Source organism: Homo sapiens, chromosome 10 (genome assembly GCF_000001405.40).
Source record: "Homo sapiens chromosome 10, GRCh38.p14 Primary Assembly".
NCBI lineage: Eukaryota > Metazoa > Chordata > Mammalia > Primates > Hominidae > Homo > Homo sapiens.
In genome coordinates, this window is record NC_000010.11 from 89,620,450 (window position 1) to 89,639,500 (window position 19,051).

The following is a 19,051-nucleotide window of genomic DNA, read 5'->3' on the forward strand; positions in this document are numbered from 1 at the left end:
AAATACACCGTGGTCTCCTGCAGCGCCCTCAGGCTTGCTAGGATTAGGAAATTCCAGCCTGGCGAATTCTAGTCAGACCTGTTGTCTGCTCTCGAACCCTATTTCCTGTTAAGATGTTTACCAATGACAATGCATGCCCAGCAGGACATGGAACCTCATCAGTAATTCTAATTTCGCCCTGGCCTTGTGATCTTGCTTTGCCTCTCTGCCCTTGTGATCTTTTATTGCCCTTTCAAGCATGTGATCTTTGTGAATTACTCCCTGTTCGTACCCCCTTCCCCTTTTGAAACCCCTAATAAAAACTTGCTGGTTTTGTAGCTCAGGGGGCATCACAGAACCTGCCAATATGTGATGTCACTGCCAGAGGCCCAGCTGTAAAATTTGTCTCTTTGTACTCTTTCTCTTTATTTCTCAGACCGGCCAACACTTAGGGAAAACAGAAAAGAACTTACATTGAAATATTGGGGCTGGTTTCCCCGATACACTTCAAAGATATTTTACACCAAATGAATATTAATTATGTTCAAGTTGCCTAAGGACGTCCACAAGTTTTAAAAAATTCCTTGTTAAGGCCGGGTGCGGTGGTTCACGCCTGTAATCCCAGCACTTTGGGAGGCTGAGATGGGTGGATCATCTGAGGTCAGAAGTTCGAGACCAACCTGACCAACACTGAGAAACCCTGTCTCTACTAAAAATACAAAATTAGCCTGGTGTTGTGGCACATGCCTGTAATCCTAGCTACACAGGAGGCTGAGGCAGGAGAATTGCTTGAACCCGGGAGGTGGAGGTTGCAGTGAGCCGAGATCGTGCCATTGCACTCCAGCCTGGGCAATAAGAGCACAAACTCTGTCTCATAAAAAAAAAAAAAATCCTTGTTAAATCCAATTGTGTAATGAATTATCTCTTTAAAAATTTCCTGTCTCTGAGAACTAACCTTCCTTTCACAATGTACAAATTTGGTTGATAGTATAACAAAATTATTTGATAATATATTCACAGAAACATTTAATGTTAAGAGGTGGAAGGAACGTTAGGTTGAGTCTAACATCCTGTTTACAAATAAGAAAACCAAGACTTAGAAAGATCAAGGAATTGTCCAAGGTTAGTCACAATAGGTATCTGAGCCCATTTTCAGTTTCATGAACCAATAAATCCCCATTTTGGTAGGCTGGTCTGAGGTGAGGTGTCTGTTGCTTACAACCGAGAATGTCCCAACAGTCAGAATTTGTGTGGGCAAGTTTCTTACTTGAGCTATTTACTTGTCTTTATTTTTACTTTTAGGGGGATGGAGCCTCACTCTGCTGCTCAGGCTAGAGTGCAGTGGCACAATCTCGGCTCACTGCAACCTCAACCTCCTGTATTCAAGCAATTCTCCTGTCTCAGCCTCCTGAGTAGCTGGGATTACAGGGGTGTGTCACCACGCCTTGCTAATTTTTGTAGTTTTAGTAGAGACGGGATTTTGCCATGTTGGCCAGACTGGTCTTGAACTCCTGACCTCAAGTGATCCACCTGCCTTGGCCTCCCAAAGTGCTGGGATTACAGGCATGAGCCGCTGCATCTGGCCCATTTACTAGTCTTTAAATGGAGGTAGATTAACCTATCACTAAAGTTCTGTCTAGTTCTCACATTCTATCATCCTAAATAATCATATGCAAAGACCTCCAAAACCATACTTTTAATAGCATGAAACACAGTTGAAAACTTAATGACTATTTAAGGACCTTGAAGAAAGTAGTGAATATAAAATTTAATAAAAGTGTTTCCCTAATACTGTAAAGAAACCCATAATTATCACACACAGAGCAATCTGTTGAACATTACTCTATGAAAAGAAATTTGAGTCATGGGTTCTTTCAAATTAATGTGTACCAGATTTCCTTAGTTTGAATTTTAGTTATAAGGTAATTACCCAGTGTTGGCAAGGGTACAAGCTCATATGCTACCACTGGGAATGTAAACTGGTATAATCTTTCTATGGGTTTATTTGGAAATACATATTAAAAAGCTCCAGATTCCTATACCCTTTGATATGTTGGTTCTATTTTACCCTAAAAGAAATTATGTGTGCATCCAAAAATTTAGCTTTAAAAAAATACTTAAAATAGGCCAGACGTGGTTGCTCATGCCTGTAATCCCAGCACTTTAGGAGGCCGAGGTGGGCGGATCACGAGGTCAGGAGATTGAGACCAGCCTGGCCAACATGGTGAAACCCCGTCTCTACTAAAAATACAAAAAACATTTGCCGGGCATGGTGGCTGGTGCCTGTAATCCCAGCTACTCAGGAGGCTGAGGCAGGAGAATGGTGTGAACCTGGGAGGCGGAGCTTGCAGTGAGCTGAGGTCGTGCCACTGCAATCTAGCCTGGGTGACAGAGCGAGACTCCATTCCAAAAAAAAAAAAAACTTAAAACATTGAAGTTGTATTTATAATAAGAAAACTAATTTATTGTACAACAACAGAGGGCTAATTAAACAAATAATCAAATAATTATTCATTAACACAAAGTGATTTAATTTAACCATTAAAATCACTTTGTAGGACATCATTTAATGATGTGAGACAAATGTTCATTATCTATCGTTAGGTGAAAAGGGCAGGGATTAAATGGTACATTTCAGGCGGTTATAATTTTGTCTAAAAATTAAATGGCTATTTGGACACACACACACAAAACTAGAAACTTTAGGCCAAAATGTTAATAGCTGGATCATGGATTGGGGTGATGTTTTTTTCTTCCTCTGGCTTTTCTGACACTTTTCTTATTTTTTTGTTTTGTTTTGTTTTTGTTTTTGAGATGCAGACTTGCTCTGTGGCCCAGGCTGGAGTGCAGTGGCGCAATCTCGGCTCACTGCAAGCTCCGCCTCCTGGGTTAACGCCATTCTCCTGCCTTAGCCTCCCGAGTAGCTGGGACTACAGGCACCCACCACCATGCCTGGCTAATTTTTTTTTGTATTTTTAGTGGAGACGAGGTTTCACCATGTTAGCCAGGATGGTCTCGATCTTCTGACCTCGCGATTCTCCCATCCTGGCCTCCCAAAATGCTGGATTACAGGCATGAGCCACCGTGCCTGGCCCAATTTTTTTTTTTTTAAATAATCAACACACTTGAACTTCATAATCAGAGCTATTTTTAAATTCTTAAAAACTTCTCTGTAATGATGCAAAAGAAAATGAAATTATTTTAACTTTGCTTCAGTGAACAGATAGCAGGTCTGTGGTCCTGCCCATAGAAAATAATATGCTTTCATTCCCTAACTCAACAACAGTTCCTTCTCTTCTCATGCAACAGCCTGCCCATATCAAACCAATTATCAAAATCCACTGAACGCAAGCCATCAAGAATGGCAGGAGTAAGCCCAACTCCCAAGAGCAAAGTTATTCAGCCTGTTAGACGCTTGATACCACAAGGGTTCCCTCAGGGTGGGAAGAGGCTGATTCACTCACCTGCACCACGGCCAGGGCAAAAACTGTATGTTAAACTTAGCAATTGAAAATACGCTGAAGAGGACACATGTATGTTTGTGGGATGGAATCGCTGTGGGACAGTGTACTGTCACAACCTTGTGTGACAATAATCTTTCTTCCACTGGCACAGCCCCAGATTCCTATCAGCTTTCTCCTCTCGCCCAGACACGGGCTGATCATATTCTAATATTTGAGAGGGAAAAAGAGAACAGCAAGAATTCCTTTCAGAACTTCTGAGGCATGTAGAAGTATTATCACCGGAGTCACATAGAGACTCAAGTCTGAATTTCATCACCTCTGCTGCTCGGGGTTAACCCATCTGTTAGGTGCAAGAGGCACAGTGGCTAGGACCTGCCATACTTTTAGGCACCCATGAAAATAATTTATTTTAAAATCAGAAGAAAATATATGAACATTTAGGTTAAGGAAAATACAATTTACTATATAATATTAATACATTCATCTTTACACCAACAATAATAAAATATAACTTTTATTTATTTTTTATGGAGGAAGGGGGCCCATGAAGGCAAAAGTACCTAGGCCCATAAAAGGTATCCTCTACATTTTGCTCTACACCCATCTTCAGGTTAAAACTGACATGATACCATACCACCATCCACTTTGCATTTGCAATGTGAACCTGGTCTCTGTGACTTGTTTACAATCACATTTCCATAAAGCAACTTAAATTTTACTATTTAGTGCAACTAAATTTTAAAGTCAAAGTTTTAGTTATATTTATTTTTTTTAGTGACTGGCCACATTTAACAACATGGTTTCTCAAATTTGCCTAATCATAAAAATCACCTAAGGCACTTGTTAAAAATACAGACTCCCAGGACATCACCTAGAGATTCTGATTCAGTGGGATAGGAGTCACGTCCCAGAAAATGTTTTCAACAAGGGGTCCCTGTAATTCTCACTAGTCAAGTTCAGAACTACTATTCTAGTTGAATCAAAATGAATACTGTAAGTAGCTGGACTACATTTCTTTGTTTTCTTGAGATGGGGCCTCACTGTTGCCCAGGCTGGAGTGTAGTGGTGTCATCACAGCTCACTGCAGCCTCAACTTCCCAGGCTCAAGTGATCCTCCCACCTCAGTATCCTGAGTAGCTAGGACTATAAGTGTGCACTCTACCACTTCTGGCTAATTTTTACATTTTTTGGTAGAGATGGGGTTTAGCCATGTTGCCCAGGCTGGCCTTGAACTCCTGGGCTCAAGAGATTCTCCTCCTCAGCCTCCCAAAGTGCTGGAATTACAGGCATGAGCCACCACGGCCAGCTTGGACTATGTTTTAAAAGTGAGAAACTGGAGTTTGTAGGAGTGGCTCTTGCTTGAAACTGAGCACAGAACTCTGAGGCAGACAGCTGAGGGCAATGCACAGCCACCAACTGGCAGGTGTTGCCATTCCCAGACACATCTAATTGCTTGTTAATGAAATTATTTATTGGCAATTTATAACATGAGTGTAATAGGTGATTTTCAAATTTTAAATGCAGCTTTTGAAGTACTAGGTATTATCCAGCCATGACTAAACCCCATGGCTGTGGTTTAGAAACATTCCACATATAATTAAATTCCCTAGATGGGCTCCTCTCTCCCCCTGACTGCCATCTTAAAAGTAAGCATACATTCCTCCATAAAGAGGTTAGCTCTAGCAACAGTACTCATGTATTTAGGTCACGCAGACAGACATTCTTTGATTTGCAACCCACGCGGCTGACCTTGACACAGACAACCATGTGAAATTAGAACAACAAATAGAAACACCAACATGAAAGCTCTGTTGCTTTTATTTTATTTTGTAGGTTAAGATAAAAAAAAAGAAAAAAAAAAAGCTCTTGCAGGGGCAAAGGAAGCCATGTCATTCTGGTAGCACCATGAAGTGTATTCTTAGCTTGGATCTGGGCCAGGAGGAAGCAGGAATAAGATGAAGCTAGAGATGAGGAGACCCAAAAATGTCAAATCCATGAGGTTAATAAAATTTTTTTTCCTTCAGTCTTTTCGTTAAGTCCCTGAGTAGCTCAGTGAGAGTGGTTTCTTTCCCAAGGTCCTGAAACCTCTCCATGTCACCCTTACAAGAAAATCAGAGAGAAAGATGAGCGTCACTCTAGGGACCAGTGAGCTCACCTTCTCCCCTTCATGCCTACAGTCAAGCTGTGTATTTCTGCTTCAGGGGTTAAGGAGAGGAAATGGTAGGCAGATGAAATTTGTTTCCCATTCCACAGTTAAGTTCTCACGCTGTGCAGAGGAGGTGGGAGGAAAATACACTTACAGACAGCTATGGTCATCACTCCTATTTCTCACCAAGAAGCTGTCAGTTCTGCCCAATCTAGAGGCAATAGAAGATGAGTATAAGTATCAACTTTCTGTGTGGTCCTCAGCATTTTTTTTTTTTTTTTTTTGAGACGGAGTCTTGCTCTGTCGCCCAGGCTGGAGTGCAGCTGCGTGATCTCGGCTCACTGCAAGCTCCGCCTCCCAGGTTAATGCCATTCTCTTGCTTCAGCCTCCCAAGTAGCTGGGACTACAGGCACCCACTACCATGCCTGGCTAATATTTTGTATTTTTAGTAAAGACGGGGTTTCACCGTGTTAGCCAGGATGGTCTCGATCTCCTGACCTCGTGATCCACCCGCCTCAGCCTCCCAAAGTGGCGGGATTACAGGCGTGAGGTCCTCAGCTTTAATTATGCCACTTTCTTCATCAGAAGTAGTCCCTGGACAAAAAAGAAGAGTCCACAGTTTTGACCATGCAGGTGTGCCAAGGGACATGACCACCACGCATCTGTGTGGCTGTCTCCAATGTGATCATTTCAGCAACCAGAGCTGAGCACAGCATCCACCCAGGAATGGCTCCTTCAACCTTCTAATGCCCGGCACTAAGGCTCAAGATGGTAATCTTATTACCTGCTTAAACAAATCCCCATTTAAACCACCAAGAGGTTTAGCTTTCTGTCTTGACAAGTCACCAGAGCGTGCTTGCATACTCTAAGGATACTGTTATCAATTTAATACCAGAGCATGGTTAATTAAAGAGGCTTCAGGGAGAACAGCATTGCTGGGTGACATAACCAGGCGGAACAACAGGTCTACCAGAAATGGGCCTTGTTCATTTATTTCTTAACTATGAAAGTCTGGCAAATCTTTGAAGTTGAGCTGGGGGGCAGAGGACTGAGGAAAGGTATGCCAACTGCTCACATGGCAACACAAGCTGAAATAAACACTTGCTTTAAATAATCTGAGACCAACTACAGTCACTCCTTCATATCTGTGGTTCCAATCACGGATTGAACCAACTGCAGACTGAAAATATTTGAAAAAAAAAAAAAAATTCCACGAAGTTCCAAAAAGCAAAACTTAAATTTGCCACGTGCTGGTGCTATAAAGAATCCATGTGAATAAAGTGATGTGTAGGTATTGTATTAGGTATTAAATCATCTAGAGATGATTTAAAGTATATGGGATGATATGCGTAGATTACATGCAAATACTACGCCATTTTATACAGGGACTTGGGCAACTGAGGATTTTGGTACCCATGGGGGTCCTGGAACCAATACAATGGATACTGAAGGAAAATCGTACAGGCTTATTCATTCACTGATTGAACAGGTATTTATTTTGTTCCTAGACGGTGTGAGGCACTCTGCTAAACAGTCAGGATGCGGCAATGAGCCAGCCCCCTTGGCACTTAAATTCTAGTACACAAAAACTGGTCAGTAATTAAGAGCAGTCTGGGAAGGAGTGAAAACTCTGCTGTGAGTGAAATCCACATTGTCCTAAAATCAGACATGACTTAATTAAAACAATCCTTTAATATTTACTAATGGTAGCTCTATGTAGGGCACCCTCCTAAGCATAGTAACTATCACAAAGTCAAGTCTGACATTCCCTAGCCATCAAAGAAACTTATAATTTCACTAGATATGAGACTAAAACTTATACAAGTTTTAAAATAATAAGATATTAGTGTTGGAGGATATAAGAGCTCTGGCCCATAACAGGCAAATGAAAAGATGCTCAACATCATTGGCTATTAGGGAAATGCACATCAAAACCACAATGAGATACGACTTAAAACCCACTAAGATGGTTACAAGTTTTAAAAAATTGAAAACAAGTATTATGAGGAAGTGGAGAAATAGGAAACCTCACACCACTAGTGGAAATGCTAAATAGTACAGTCACTTTGGAAAACTGGCAGTTCTGCAAGAGGTTAAACAAAGAGTTACTATATGATCTAGCAATTCTAGTACTAGGTGTATATACCCAAGAGAAGTGAAAACTCATGTCCACACAAAAACCTTACATGAATGTTTATAGCTGCATTATTCACAATAGCCAAAAAGTAGAAACGACCCAAATGTTAATCAACTGATGAACATGGATAAATAATGTGATAAATCCACCCAATAAAATATTATCTGGCCACAAAAAAGGACAAAATACTAATACATACTACAACATGGATGAATCCTGAAAACACTATGCTAAGTAAAGCCGCCAATCAGAAAAGATCACGTATGATATGATTTCACTCATTTGAAATGTCCAGAATAAGCAAAACTCTAGAGACAGAAAATAGATTAGTTGCCTAGGGTTGGGGATTGTGGGGGAAAAAGAGGAGTGACTGCTAATAATTTTCTGGGAGGGGATAAAATATTATAAAGTTAATTGTGATAGTTGTACAACTCTATGAATACACTAAAAACCATAGAATTGCATACTCTAAATGGATGAAATACATGGTGAATGTGAATTATATCTTAATTTTCTCATTTCAAGATACATTTTTAAAACATAAATGCCAATTATACCAGTTCTTAAAGATAATCTTTCTAAAATGCACAACCCACTTCTCCATACTCTTAAACAAAACAGACTGAATGAAATTTGAGGTCTTCTTGATGATTCACAGTCAAATGACAATCAATTATTGTGCTCACTGTACATTGATGTCCTCAGGAATCATGTAAACATGCGCTTCCCAGGCTGCTATGGTTTGAATCTTCTTTTGTCTCTATTATAGTTTTCTATGTCTTGCTTTTGGGCTAAAGCTGTTAATTTCTCACTGCTGTCAGTGTTACTGCAATATATCTATCCAGAACCTGCTGTGTCCGAATGCAGAGAAACCAGGAAAGCAAGTCTGTTAAAACTGCATGTATAGTTATTATTTGTCAATTTAAAAAATAAAATTAAAAAAGAAGAGTACATAGATTCTGAGGGAGATCACAGGAAGTACTCTCAAGTGTAAGATGCATGAGCACCTCTGACTTTATCTACTTCCCAACACTGATTTTGATTGCTCAGAAGTGTTTGCTTCCTTCCAGTGCTCAGCTGCCTTCGGGGTTATCACTGGCATCCCCTGAGGTTATAGGCATTGTAGTTAGAAGTGACAGGCATTGTAGTTACAAGTGAATTTTTTTTTACTATAATAATTTTTATCAAAGGCACAGCTAGATGTAATATCTGACTGAGAAAAGGGATTAAAACTTTATAAAATATAAATATGAACATTCAAAATATTTTATTCGCCTGGGATCATTTAGTTTTGGGGCATAGTGTTCTTCCACACCATGAAGAGTGAGATTTTTTCAAATTCTTTAGCATTGGAACTTTTAAAAGTTCCATCTTAATTCTGAATCCCAGATATGAAAGAGATAAAAGTGACGTCTTATTTGCACTGTCTCATTTTACAAATCACATCACATCTAATGTAAAGTTAATTAATGAGAACAGTGATGCTTGTTCAACATAAAGGCTGGAAACTGTCCCTTACGGATGATAGCTGCAGCTTCACGAACTTCACCCATTTATTTCTGTACTTTATTTGGATTACACAATTTGAAGAAAAGTTTGATTCAGAGACAGCAGCTGCAAATCATAACTGTTCTTTTGAACAGCTTCCCTTGCAAACTCAGGGATTTCCTGAATCAAAACTGATTCAGTAGTTTGAAAAGATTTACTGAAAATGTTTCAGCTTCTTGCTGAATACTAAAAATACCTAACAACTCACTTTGCTTGCAACACATATAAAAATCAAACAAAAAACATCCAAACCTTTTGATTAGTGCTAAAACTCTAAGACAGCATTACCAGGACTTGACAGGTTACCCATTTACTTGTTATGTAACTGACCTAAGCCAGGGTGAGGGTGAGAGGGTTTGCCAAGAAAATATGTCTAAGCCTTGACTAAAATTTAATTGAGTGTGGTACACGTGTGCTGAAGTGGTATATATTATCTTATGCAATCTGATGTGGACAGATATATACCGGCCAAACGTTAAGACTTTAGAGCTACAAACTTGCCAATAAATAGTTTATTTATAAGAATTCAGAAGAAGTTTATTCCAACGACTGTGAAAAATGAGTTAATCCAGCAGCAGCAGCAACATTATATCAATTAACATTTAGGACATACTATGTGTCAGGCGCTGTGCTAGCAGCTTTCCATGCATTATTTAATTCAGTTCTCATAACCCAATGAAGTTGGCACTATTATTATTCCCATTTTACAGATTACAAAATTGAGGCTCAGAGAACTCCCTCAAACATTAGGTGATCTCTAATGTGCAGTTTTTTTGTTTTTTTTTTTGAGACGGAGTCTCGCTCTGTCACCCAGGCTGGAGTGCAGCGGCGCGATCTTGGTGTACTGCAAGCTCTGCCTCCCGGGTTCACACCTTTCTCCTGCCTCAGCCTCCCGAGTAGCTGAGACTACAGGCACCCGTCACCTCGCCCGGCTAATTTTTTGTATTTTTAGTAGAGACTGAGTTTCACTGTGTTAGCCAGGATGGTCTCGATCTCCTGACCTCGTGATCCGCCCGCCTCGGCCTTCCGAAGTGCTGGAATTACAGGCCTGAGCCACTGCGCCCGGCCTCTAATGTGCTTTGTAAATTATAGCTTTTAAATAGTTAAAAAAAAATTAAGATTTTTGAATTAAACATTTGGACCCTCTAAAAGTTACACCCAAGCTGGATAGGCTGGCGCATCCCTGTAGTCTCAACTACTCAGGAAGCTGAGGCAGGAGGTTTGCTTGAGCCCAAGAGTTGGAGATTAGCCTGGGGAACACAGCAAAACTGCATCTCTAAACAAACATTTTTTTTTACATGCTGTATATAGCTGTTACACAACACATATCCATGAATGAACAAACCCAAATGCCTGTACACCATTACCTAAGACTTTCCTGTATTACAACCCAGTATAAAAGTTGATATTAATGATGTCCCTAAATTATTAGAATATGTTAAATGAGACTCCCTTGTCAAAGAAGGCAACGATGTATAAAATGAATCTGAAGCACATTTTCATAAAGCTGACAAAAGTAAACCAGTTCTGGCAGTTTACACAGACAGAAATTCACTGATGTTTAACTAGTTTGATCCCAGGAATGTTAATAAATTGAGTGATACGGATTCAGGATCTTTTTCTTTCCTCTTGTGGCTAAATTAAAATACAGAGTCCTAGGTCTAAAGATTGCCTGAAATTACAAATTTTAGCAACACCCCTTCTTTAAACCCTTGGTTCAATCCTGAATCCAGCAACTCCAGATTTCTAGGCCTGAGGCCAGTCCTATACCCTAATTGTCTTCAGGAGAGCTAGCTTGCCTGCTCCCACTGGCACCATCCAAATGACTTCAGAGGAAAGGAGAGGGGTGGAATTCTTTTAATACTGTTCTTTAGTTCTTAATCTATATTTCCAGACAAAAATTATGTAGGAGATACTAATCACTCTTAGTCCAGTGATACTGGGTGATTCCAAAGCAGCTTTTTGGCACAGGACTATTTCAAGAATGAGGTTTCAAATCTCAGACCATGAAGAAATGGTAAAAAATTAATCATAAACAAACAATAACAGGTATGGGCAAATGAAAGGATTCTCCAGGGGCAACACAAATCAGGTTTTCAATTATCCACCTACAAATGAGATGTAACAATTTTAATTGTGGTTAGATAACTGAATTTATCTAATTGTGCATCATAAAACACAATAGTCTCAACTGGATATAATACACTGCTAACTTTTACAGCAAATAACAGATTGTGTGTGTGTGTGTGTGTGTTTTTTTTTTTAAAAAGGGTTCTTTTCTTTTGGAAATAAAGACAAAAACATTTAATACTAAACATATGATTTCTGAGGTCTGCTTCAATATTATAAAATTGGACATGATTTGATAATTATAGAAGCTGAGTGATAAGTACTTGGCAGTTCATTATGCTATATTCTCTAGTTTTGTATAATGTTTAAAATGCAGAAAAAGTTGTTAAAATCCCAACACTTTCCAAAACGCTCACTCAGGACAATAAGAGGACAAGTGGAACACAGTGACTTTTGGAATAAAAACCATGAGTCTGAATTTGGGAAGTCCCTTTTTTGCCACACAGATCCTGCTTATGGAACCAAATATATCAAACTGTTTTCCCTTTAGCTAGGACAAACTTCAGTCTACTTATCCTAACCATAAACATATAATGAAAATATTCTGGCAACTCCACCCTGACATTTCAGCAGCAATAAATAAATTATAAATCACCCTAGAAAGGTACAAGCCTCAACTAAGGCCAGGTTTATATCTATTTAAGAAAAAAAAAATTTGGTGTTCCTCAATCCACAATGAACAAATAACTCAAAATAACTGAAGTCATTAAAAAACAAAAACAATAATGAATTATGAAATAAGTGTAAGTCCAAATTTATAATTTTCCCATGATTAATACTTAAGTGCATGCATGTCTACATATCCATACACATAAAAGCACATGTATTATTTTCTTCTGCTAGCATTGATGGAATTGTTAACACCTGCTTGGTCTACCTGCTGGGTAATCCAGCACTAAGCCCAACTACATTTACAGTAGGAATTTAGGAGGCAGGAAGGGAGGAAAATAACGATGTGATTCCAAAGAAATTCTACCCTCATACCAACCACAGTGACCCCTGAAGTATTTGTAGAATACTTTCTTTCCTGAGAATAAGCCTCCCTCATCAAACTTCTCATCTTCAGACATTGTCCTACTTAGCAAAGGACATGTTGACCTTTACTCCCCTTCTCTACCTCAAATGCATCAATAATTCAATTAGTATTACTGATACCTGCTGGGACTTTTCTCTGAGCTTCTTCTGTGAACTGTGTCCCAGTCACTGTGTACTGGTAAATGTTTAACAACTGGTTCTCTGAAAATAAAGCCCTGATTTTCAGTGTTTGCCAGTTTCCACGGTGTATATATATATATATCCATGATGGCCAGTTTCAAGTTATCAGCATAAGGATACTGAAATGCAGAGTTGGGAAGTCATGTGTATAAACAACACCCATAGCCTGTATAAGTTGGCTTTAGCACAACGCTGAGATGCCTGGTTTGCTAGGATAATCCCAGCCTATATCTGTGGTCCTAGCATAATTAATGGTACCCCTACCACTCTTTAAAAGTGTTAATGAAATATTACATGATCACCCCAAAGAATAAATCACTTTGGGACCCTTTCTCAAAGTAAAAACCTTCCACAAAAAAGGATAAGACCTTCCATAAAAGGTAAGAAGATCTGATTATCTCCTTAGTCAAATGTACACTAACTTCCTAGTATGGAACACCCTAAAAACATTAACAGCCCTTTAATTTTTTTTTTTAAATCAAACATAGGTAGTTGGGAGAGTATGAATAGTAAACAGGTTCCACTAATGTTCAAGTACTGACTCACACACAGGGTTTAGTGATTTCTGGAGCTATTACAGCATCTGAGTGAAGAAATCAAGCCACACAGCTGGCTTCAGGTTACACTCTAGCTTAAAGTCACATGAAACCAAATATCACATGCAGAGTCTAGCACAGTGCCTAGCCCAAATAAATTAAAAACTGGTTAGTCCCTGTAGGTTTAATGGGAATCATTAAATCTCAGAGTTCAAGGCAACCCAGGTCAATACTTACTTGATCTCCTTTATGACTACCCCAAGAAGTCATCCTCCAATCTTGCTTAAATACTTGTCAGCAACCCAATACAACCTGCACTGGGTCACATGGGTAGAATCTGGCAGGCAAGAATATTGGTCTTGGTTCTTCAAAGAGGAGAACCCAAAAAAAGAGTCAAGATAAGATAGCTATCTTTAAATACCTCGTGAGCTGTTATGTAGAAGATGAATTAGATATACTGAATTGTCAAGGACCATGGGGTAGAAGTTATAGGGAGACAGATTTTGAGTTAGTATAAGGAAGAACATCTAACACCACCACAGTAATAATAGCTAACATTTATTGAGTGCTTACATTTTGCTGGAAGCCTCACCATACTGCTAACTCATGTTAAGCTTGAAGTCAACGAATCTATTGCTCTCTCTGGTCGCCCCTGACCATCTACCTTGGGCTATAAAAGAGTTGTTTGTCCAGAAGCCCCAGAGGGATCCAAGTAACTGGCTGCCCAGGCTAGCTACAATTCAGAAGTTCATACAGGTCCAGTCTGTCCTGAGCCTCTATCTAAAGTCCTTGCACCCTCAGATTCAGTGTAGGATCAAGGCCAAGAGTACTAGAATGTACATGTGCTGGTGCTGAAGGCAAGCACCTGGAAATATTCATCTCATTCATCATCTGCCAAAGGAAGATTCCAGAGTCTTGCACATATTTGCAAGGTCATTTTTTCAATTCTTGGAGAATGGGTTAAAAAAATGACCCAAGAACTTGATGTAGTTCTTCTGAATTCTGAAGTCTTGTTCAATTCATGTGGCTTTTATGAAGGAAAAGTACTCACTTTTCTCATCCTTCTCATCTCCTTTGCATATAACTGCCTCACTCAAGGGCTGAGATATCAAACAGTTAAGATCAAAAGAGGACACTTCTTTTTTAAAAAATAACCATGTCCTGACACAAGATTAGCAATCAAATAAATTCCACAGTCCTCTTATTCACTAATTTGCCAGCATCACTCTCAGACAGGGTATGCTAAACTTGGTGAGGCAATCTATGATAATCAGGTCAAGACTTATGACACAAGCCATGTGTCCTGCTTCTAGAAACATCAGAGGGTATTAGGGAAGCTTCCATTGAGGAGGTGATATCCGATCAGGTTGGGGAATACTCTGAAATCCAATCTCCGAAAGATTCCCAGTCAGGGCAAGATGAGTTTGTGGAAATCCTGGTATTTCAGAGTCTTGGAAGCCTCTGTAATTAAATAACAGCAATGATATTAATATTAAATGTCTACATGGTTGATCATTTAGCAAATATATATATATATATAGAGAGAGAGAGAGATAAAATGTCCTCTATTAATATAAATAAGACTGGTATTAATAGTGTCTTAGTCCATTTTGTGCTGCTATAACAGAACACTTCAGACTGGGTAATTTGTAATGAACAGAAATTTATCGGGCTCACAATTCTAGAGGCTAGTAAGGCCAAGATTGGGGGGCTGCATATGGCAAGGACCTTCCTGCTGCATCATCCCATGATAGAAGCATAAAAGGGCAAAAGAGCATGTGTGCACAAGAGAGCAAAAGAGTGAACTCACAGCCTCAAACCCTTTTATAATGGCATTAATCATTCATGGGGATGGTGCCCTCATGACCTAAATGCCTCCCATTAGGCCTCATCTCCCAACACTGTTACACTGGGGATTTTCAACACGTGCTTTCTGGGGGACACATTTAAACCACAGCATTCCACCCTGGCTCCCCAAATTCATGTTCTTCTCACATAAAAGACACATTCATGTCATGCAATAGCCCCAAAAGTCATAACTTTCCAGCATCAGCTCAGAAGTTCAATGTACACAGTCTCATCTGAATCAGATATGGATGAGATTCAAGGCAGGATTCATCTTGAGGGACACTTCCCTCTAGCTGTAAGCCTGTGAAATCAAACAAGTTACTTACTTCCAAAATACAATGGTGGAATAGGCAAAGGATAGACATTCCCATTCCAAAAGACACAAATAGGCAAGAAGAAAGGGATAGTCTTAAGTCAATCCAAAACCCAACAGGGCAAACAACACTAAATCTTAAGGCTCCAGAGTAATCTTCCTTGACTCCACATCCTACCATCTGGGAACACTGGAGCAGCAGTTGGGCCCCCAAGGCCTCAGGTAGGCAGGCCTACCCCTACAGCTTTGTTTGGTGCTACCCATGCAGCAGCTCTCACAGGTTGGTGTCAGGTGCCTGTGGCTCTCCTGGCTAGTATTTCATGCTGGTAGGTCTAGAGTTCTGGGGTGTTGGTGTGAGCCCACTCCTTAGGCTTTACTAGGCATTGCTCTAGGAGACTCTCTGCGGTAGCTCCTACCCTAAAGTTATGCCACACACTGCCCTAGTAAGGGCCCTCTGGGTTGCTCCACCCTTGCAACACGTGTCTGCCTGGGCCATCAGGCTGTCTATGACATTCTTTGGAATCTAGCTGGAGAAAGCCATGCATCCACAGTTATTATTATTATTATTATTATTATTTTTAATTTTTATTTTTTTTGAGATGGAGTTGGAGTGCAGGTTGGCTTGCAGTGGCGCGATCTCAGCTCACTGCAGGCTCGGCCCCCCGGGGTGCACGCCATTCTCCTGCCTCATATTATTATTTTTTGAGATGGAGTCTTACTCTGTCACCCAGGCTGGAGTGCAGTGGTGCGATCTTGGCTCACTGCAACCTCCACCTCGTGGGTTCAAGCGATTCTGCTGCCTCAGCCTCCCGAGTAGCTGGGACTACAGGCGCATGCCACCATGCCTGGCTAATTTTTTGTATTTTTAGTAGAGACGGTGTTTCACAGTGTTAGCCAGGATGGTCTCGATCTCCTGACCTCGTGATCCGCCTGCCTTGGCCTCCCAAAGTGCTGGGATTACAGGCATGAGCCACCGCACCCAGCCTGCCTCCACAAGTCGTGTACTCTGCATGTCTGTAGACTTAACACCACATGGATGCCACCAAGATTTGCTGCTTGCACATTCCAAAGCTGTGGCCTGAGCCACACCAGAGCACCCCTCTTTTTTTTTTTTGAGACAGAGTCTCTCCCTGTCGCCCAGGCTACAGTGCAGTGGCGCGATCTCGACTCACTGCAAGCTCCGCCTCCCGGGTTCATGCCATTCTCCTGCCTCAGCCTCCCGAGTACCTGGGACTACAGGCGCCCGCCACCACGCCTGGCTATTTTGTATTTTTAGTAGAGACGGGGTTCCACCGTGTTAGCCAGGATGGTCTCGATCTCCTGACCTTCTGATCCACCAGCCTCGGCCTCCCAAAGTGCTGGGATTACAGGCGTCAGCCACCGCACCCGGCCCACCTGAGCACCGTTGAGCCACAGGTGGGGTGAGCAAGAAGCACTGTAATGAAATGTGGCAAGCAGAGACTTCAGGCAGCCCTGAGAAGTGAACTCCAAGATCCAGAGGGCACACTAGTTCTCTCTTTTGATATACAGTCATACGTCACTTAATGACGGGTATTTTCAGAGAAAAGAAGTGTCATTAGGCAATTCTGTCATTGTGCAAACAGCATAGAGTGTACTTACACAACCCTAGACGCTATAGCCTACTACAGACCTAGGCTATATGGTAAACCCTATTGTTCCTAAGCTGTAAACCTGTACAGCATGTTACTGTGCTTAGTACTATAGGCAATTGTAACAATGGTTAGTATTTGTGTATCTAAACATACCTAAACATAGAAAAGGTACAGTAAAAGTACAGTCTAAAAGACAAAACGTGGCATACCTGTATAGGGCACATACAAGAGCTTCCAGGACTGACAGTTGCTCTGGGTGAGTGAGTGGTGAGTAAATGTGAAGGCCTAGGACATCACTGTACACACTGTAGACTTTACAAACATTGTTCACTTAGGCTACTCTAAATTTATAAAAAGAAATTTATTTCTTCAGTAATCAATTATACTTAGCTTACTATAACAGTTTTACTTTATAAACTTTCTAATTTTAAAAATTTTTTGACTCTTGTAATAACACTTGGCTTAAAACACAAACATATTGTATAGGTGTACAAAAATATTTTCTTTATATTCTCATTCTACAAGCTTTTTTCTATTTTTAAAATTTTTTAGTTTTTTTTTTTACTTTTTAAACTTATTTGTTAAAAACAAAGATGCAAACACACACATTAACCTAGGTCTACACAAAGTCAGGGTCATCAATATCACGGTCTTCCACACCCACATCTTGTCCCACTAGAAGGTATTATGTATTATACATAATTGTGTGTGCTATATTTTTATATGACTAGCAGCCAGTAGGTTTATACCATCATCATCAAAAACAGATGAGCAACACATTGAGTTATGATGTTCAATGGTTATGATACCACTGGGCAATAAGAATTTTTCAGTTCCATTATAATCTTATAGGACTACCTTTGTATATGTGCTCCTTCCTTGGTGAAAAGGTCTATATGTGGGGCATGACTGTATTTCCTTCTCCGAGGTCATGGCACCCTGTGCCTGTGATGGGAGGGACAGCACCAGTAATTTCCAAAATGCCTTCAGAGTCATTCTTCCATTGTCCTAATGAACAGCCTCTGGCTTCCTTCTATCCCTACTGATCTCCTTATCAACTGGTTGCTTGCCCACACCCTTGGTCTTCTCTCCTGAAAATGTTCTTTCATTCTCTACCACATGGCCAGGATGAGAATCCTTCAAATCCCTAAATTCTGTTTCCTTTTTAATTATAAATTTTATCTTTAAGTCATTTCTCTCTTATTTTCCTGTATGCAGTTAATATTTTGCTTAGAAATTTCTTCCATCAAATATCGTAGTTTATTGCTCTTACATTCTGCCTTCCATAAAGCCTAGGGTGTAGACACAATTCAACCAAATTCCTTGCCACTTCATAACAAGGCTGGTCCTTACTCCACTTTCCAATACCTTATTCCTCTTTTCCATCTGAGATCTCATCAGAATTGCCTTTATTGCTCTTATTTCTACCAACATTCTCATCACCATCACATAAGTAATCTCTAAGGAGATTTAGACTTTTACTACAGCTCTCCTCCTCTTCTCAGCCTTCACCAGAACCACATTTAATGCTCTGTTCATAGCAACATAGGCTTTTCATAGCAACATAGGCTTTTCATAGCCTGCTTCCCCACATTCTTCCAGCCTCTACCTGTTACCCAGTTCCAAAACCGCTTTCACATTTTCAGGTATTTGTTATAGCAACAGCCCCATTTCTCAGTACCAGTTTTCTGTCTTTGTCCAGTTTGTGTTGCTATAATAGAATACCTGTGACTGGGTAATTAATAATGAACAGAAATTTATTTGGCTTACAGTTCTGGAGGCTGAGAAGTCCAAGATCGAGGGACTGCATCTGGTGAAGGCCTTCTTGCTGCATCATCCCATGGCAGAAAGGCAAAAGAGCATGCTTGAGAAAGGGCAAGAGATTGAACTTGCAGCCTCAAGTCCTTTTACAATTGGCATTAACCCATACATGAGGGTGAAGCCCTCATGACCTAAACATCCCCCATTAAGCCCCACCTTCTAACACTGTTGCATTGGAGATTACATTTCCAACACATGAGTTCTGGGGGACACATTCAAACCGTGGTAAATAGTAAGATATCTTTTACTATGCATGTACTAGGGTCCAGGCATGGTACTATACTTGATATACATTTTCCAC

The 19,051-nt window shown here is 40.3% G+C and overlaps 1 protein-coding gene across 7 annotated transcripts in view, besides 1 other annotated feature; it reads right to left on the bottom strand.

The window, feature by feature from the left end:
* Nucleotides 1–19,051, bottom strand: part of PANK1 (pantothenate kinase 1) — a 65,748-nt gene that overhangs the window by 40,955 nt on the left and 5,742 nt on the right. The window contains exon 2 of one of the 7 annotated variants that reach the window (XM_017016334.2): nucleotides 18,700–18,757. The exons of 3 other annotated variants lie outside the window; for them this stretch is intronic. In XM_017016334.2, the coding sequence (XP_016871823.1) occupies nucleotides 18,700–18,757 (58 nt within the window). Of the gene's footprint in view, nucleotides 1–5,743; nucleotides 5,866–13,728; nucleotides 14,581–18,699; nucleotides 18,794–19,051 lie in introns of those variants that run through there. 3 more of the 7 variants (XM_017016333.3, XM_047425354.1, XM_017016336.2) reach the window with 3 other exon arrangements.
* Nucleotides 15,795–16,296: an enhancer, noted in NCBI's record as "H3K4me1 hESC enhancer chr10:91396001-91396502 (GRCh37/hg19 assembly coordinates)". NCBI's record gives its function as "activates a minimal SCP1, AML or CMV promoter by ChIP-STARR-seq in primed H9 embryonic stem cells {active_cell/tissue: H9 hESC(primed)}" and the evidence as "EXISTENCE:reporter gene assay evidence [ECO:0000049][PMID:30033119]".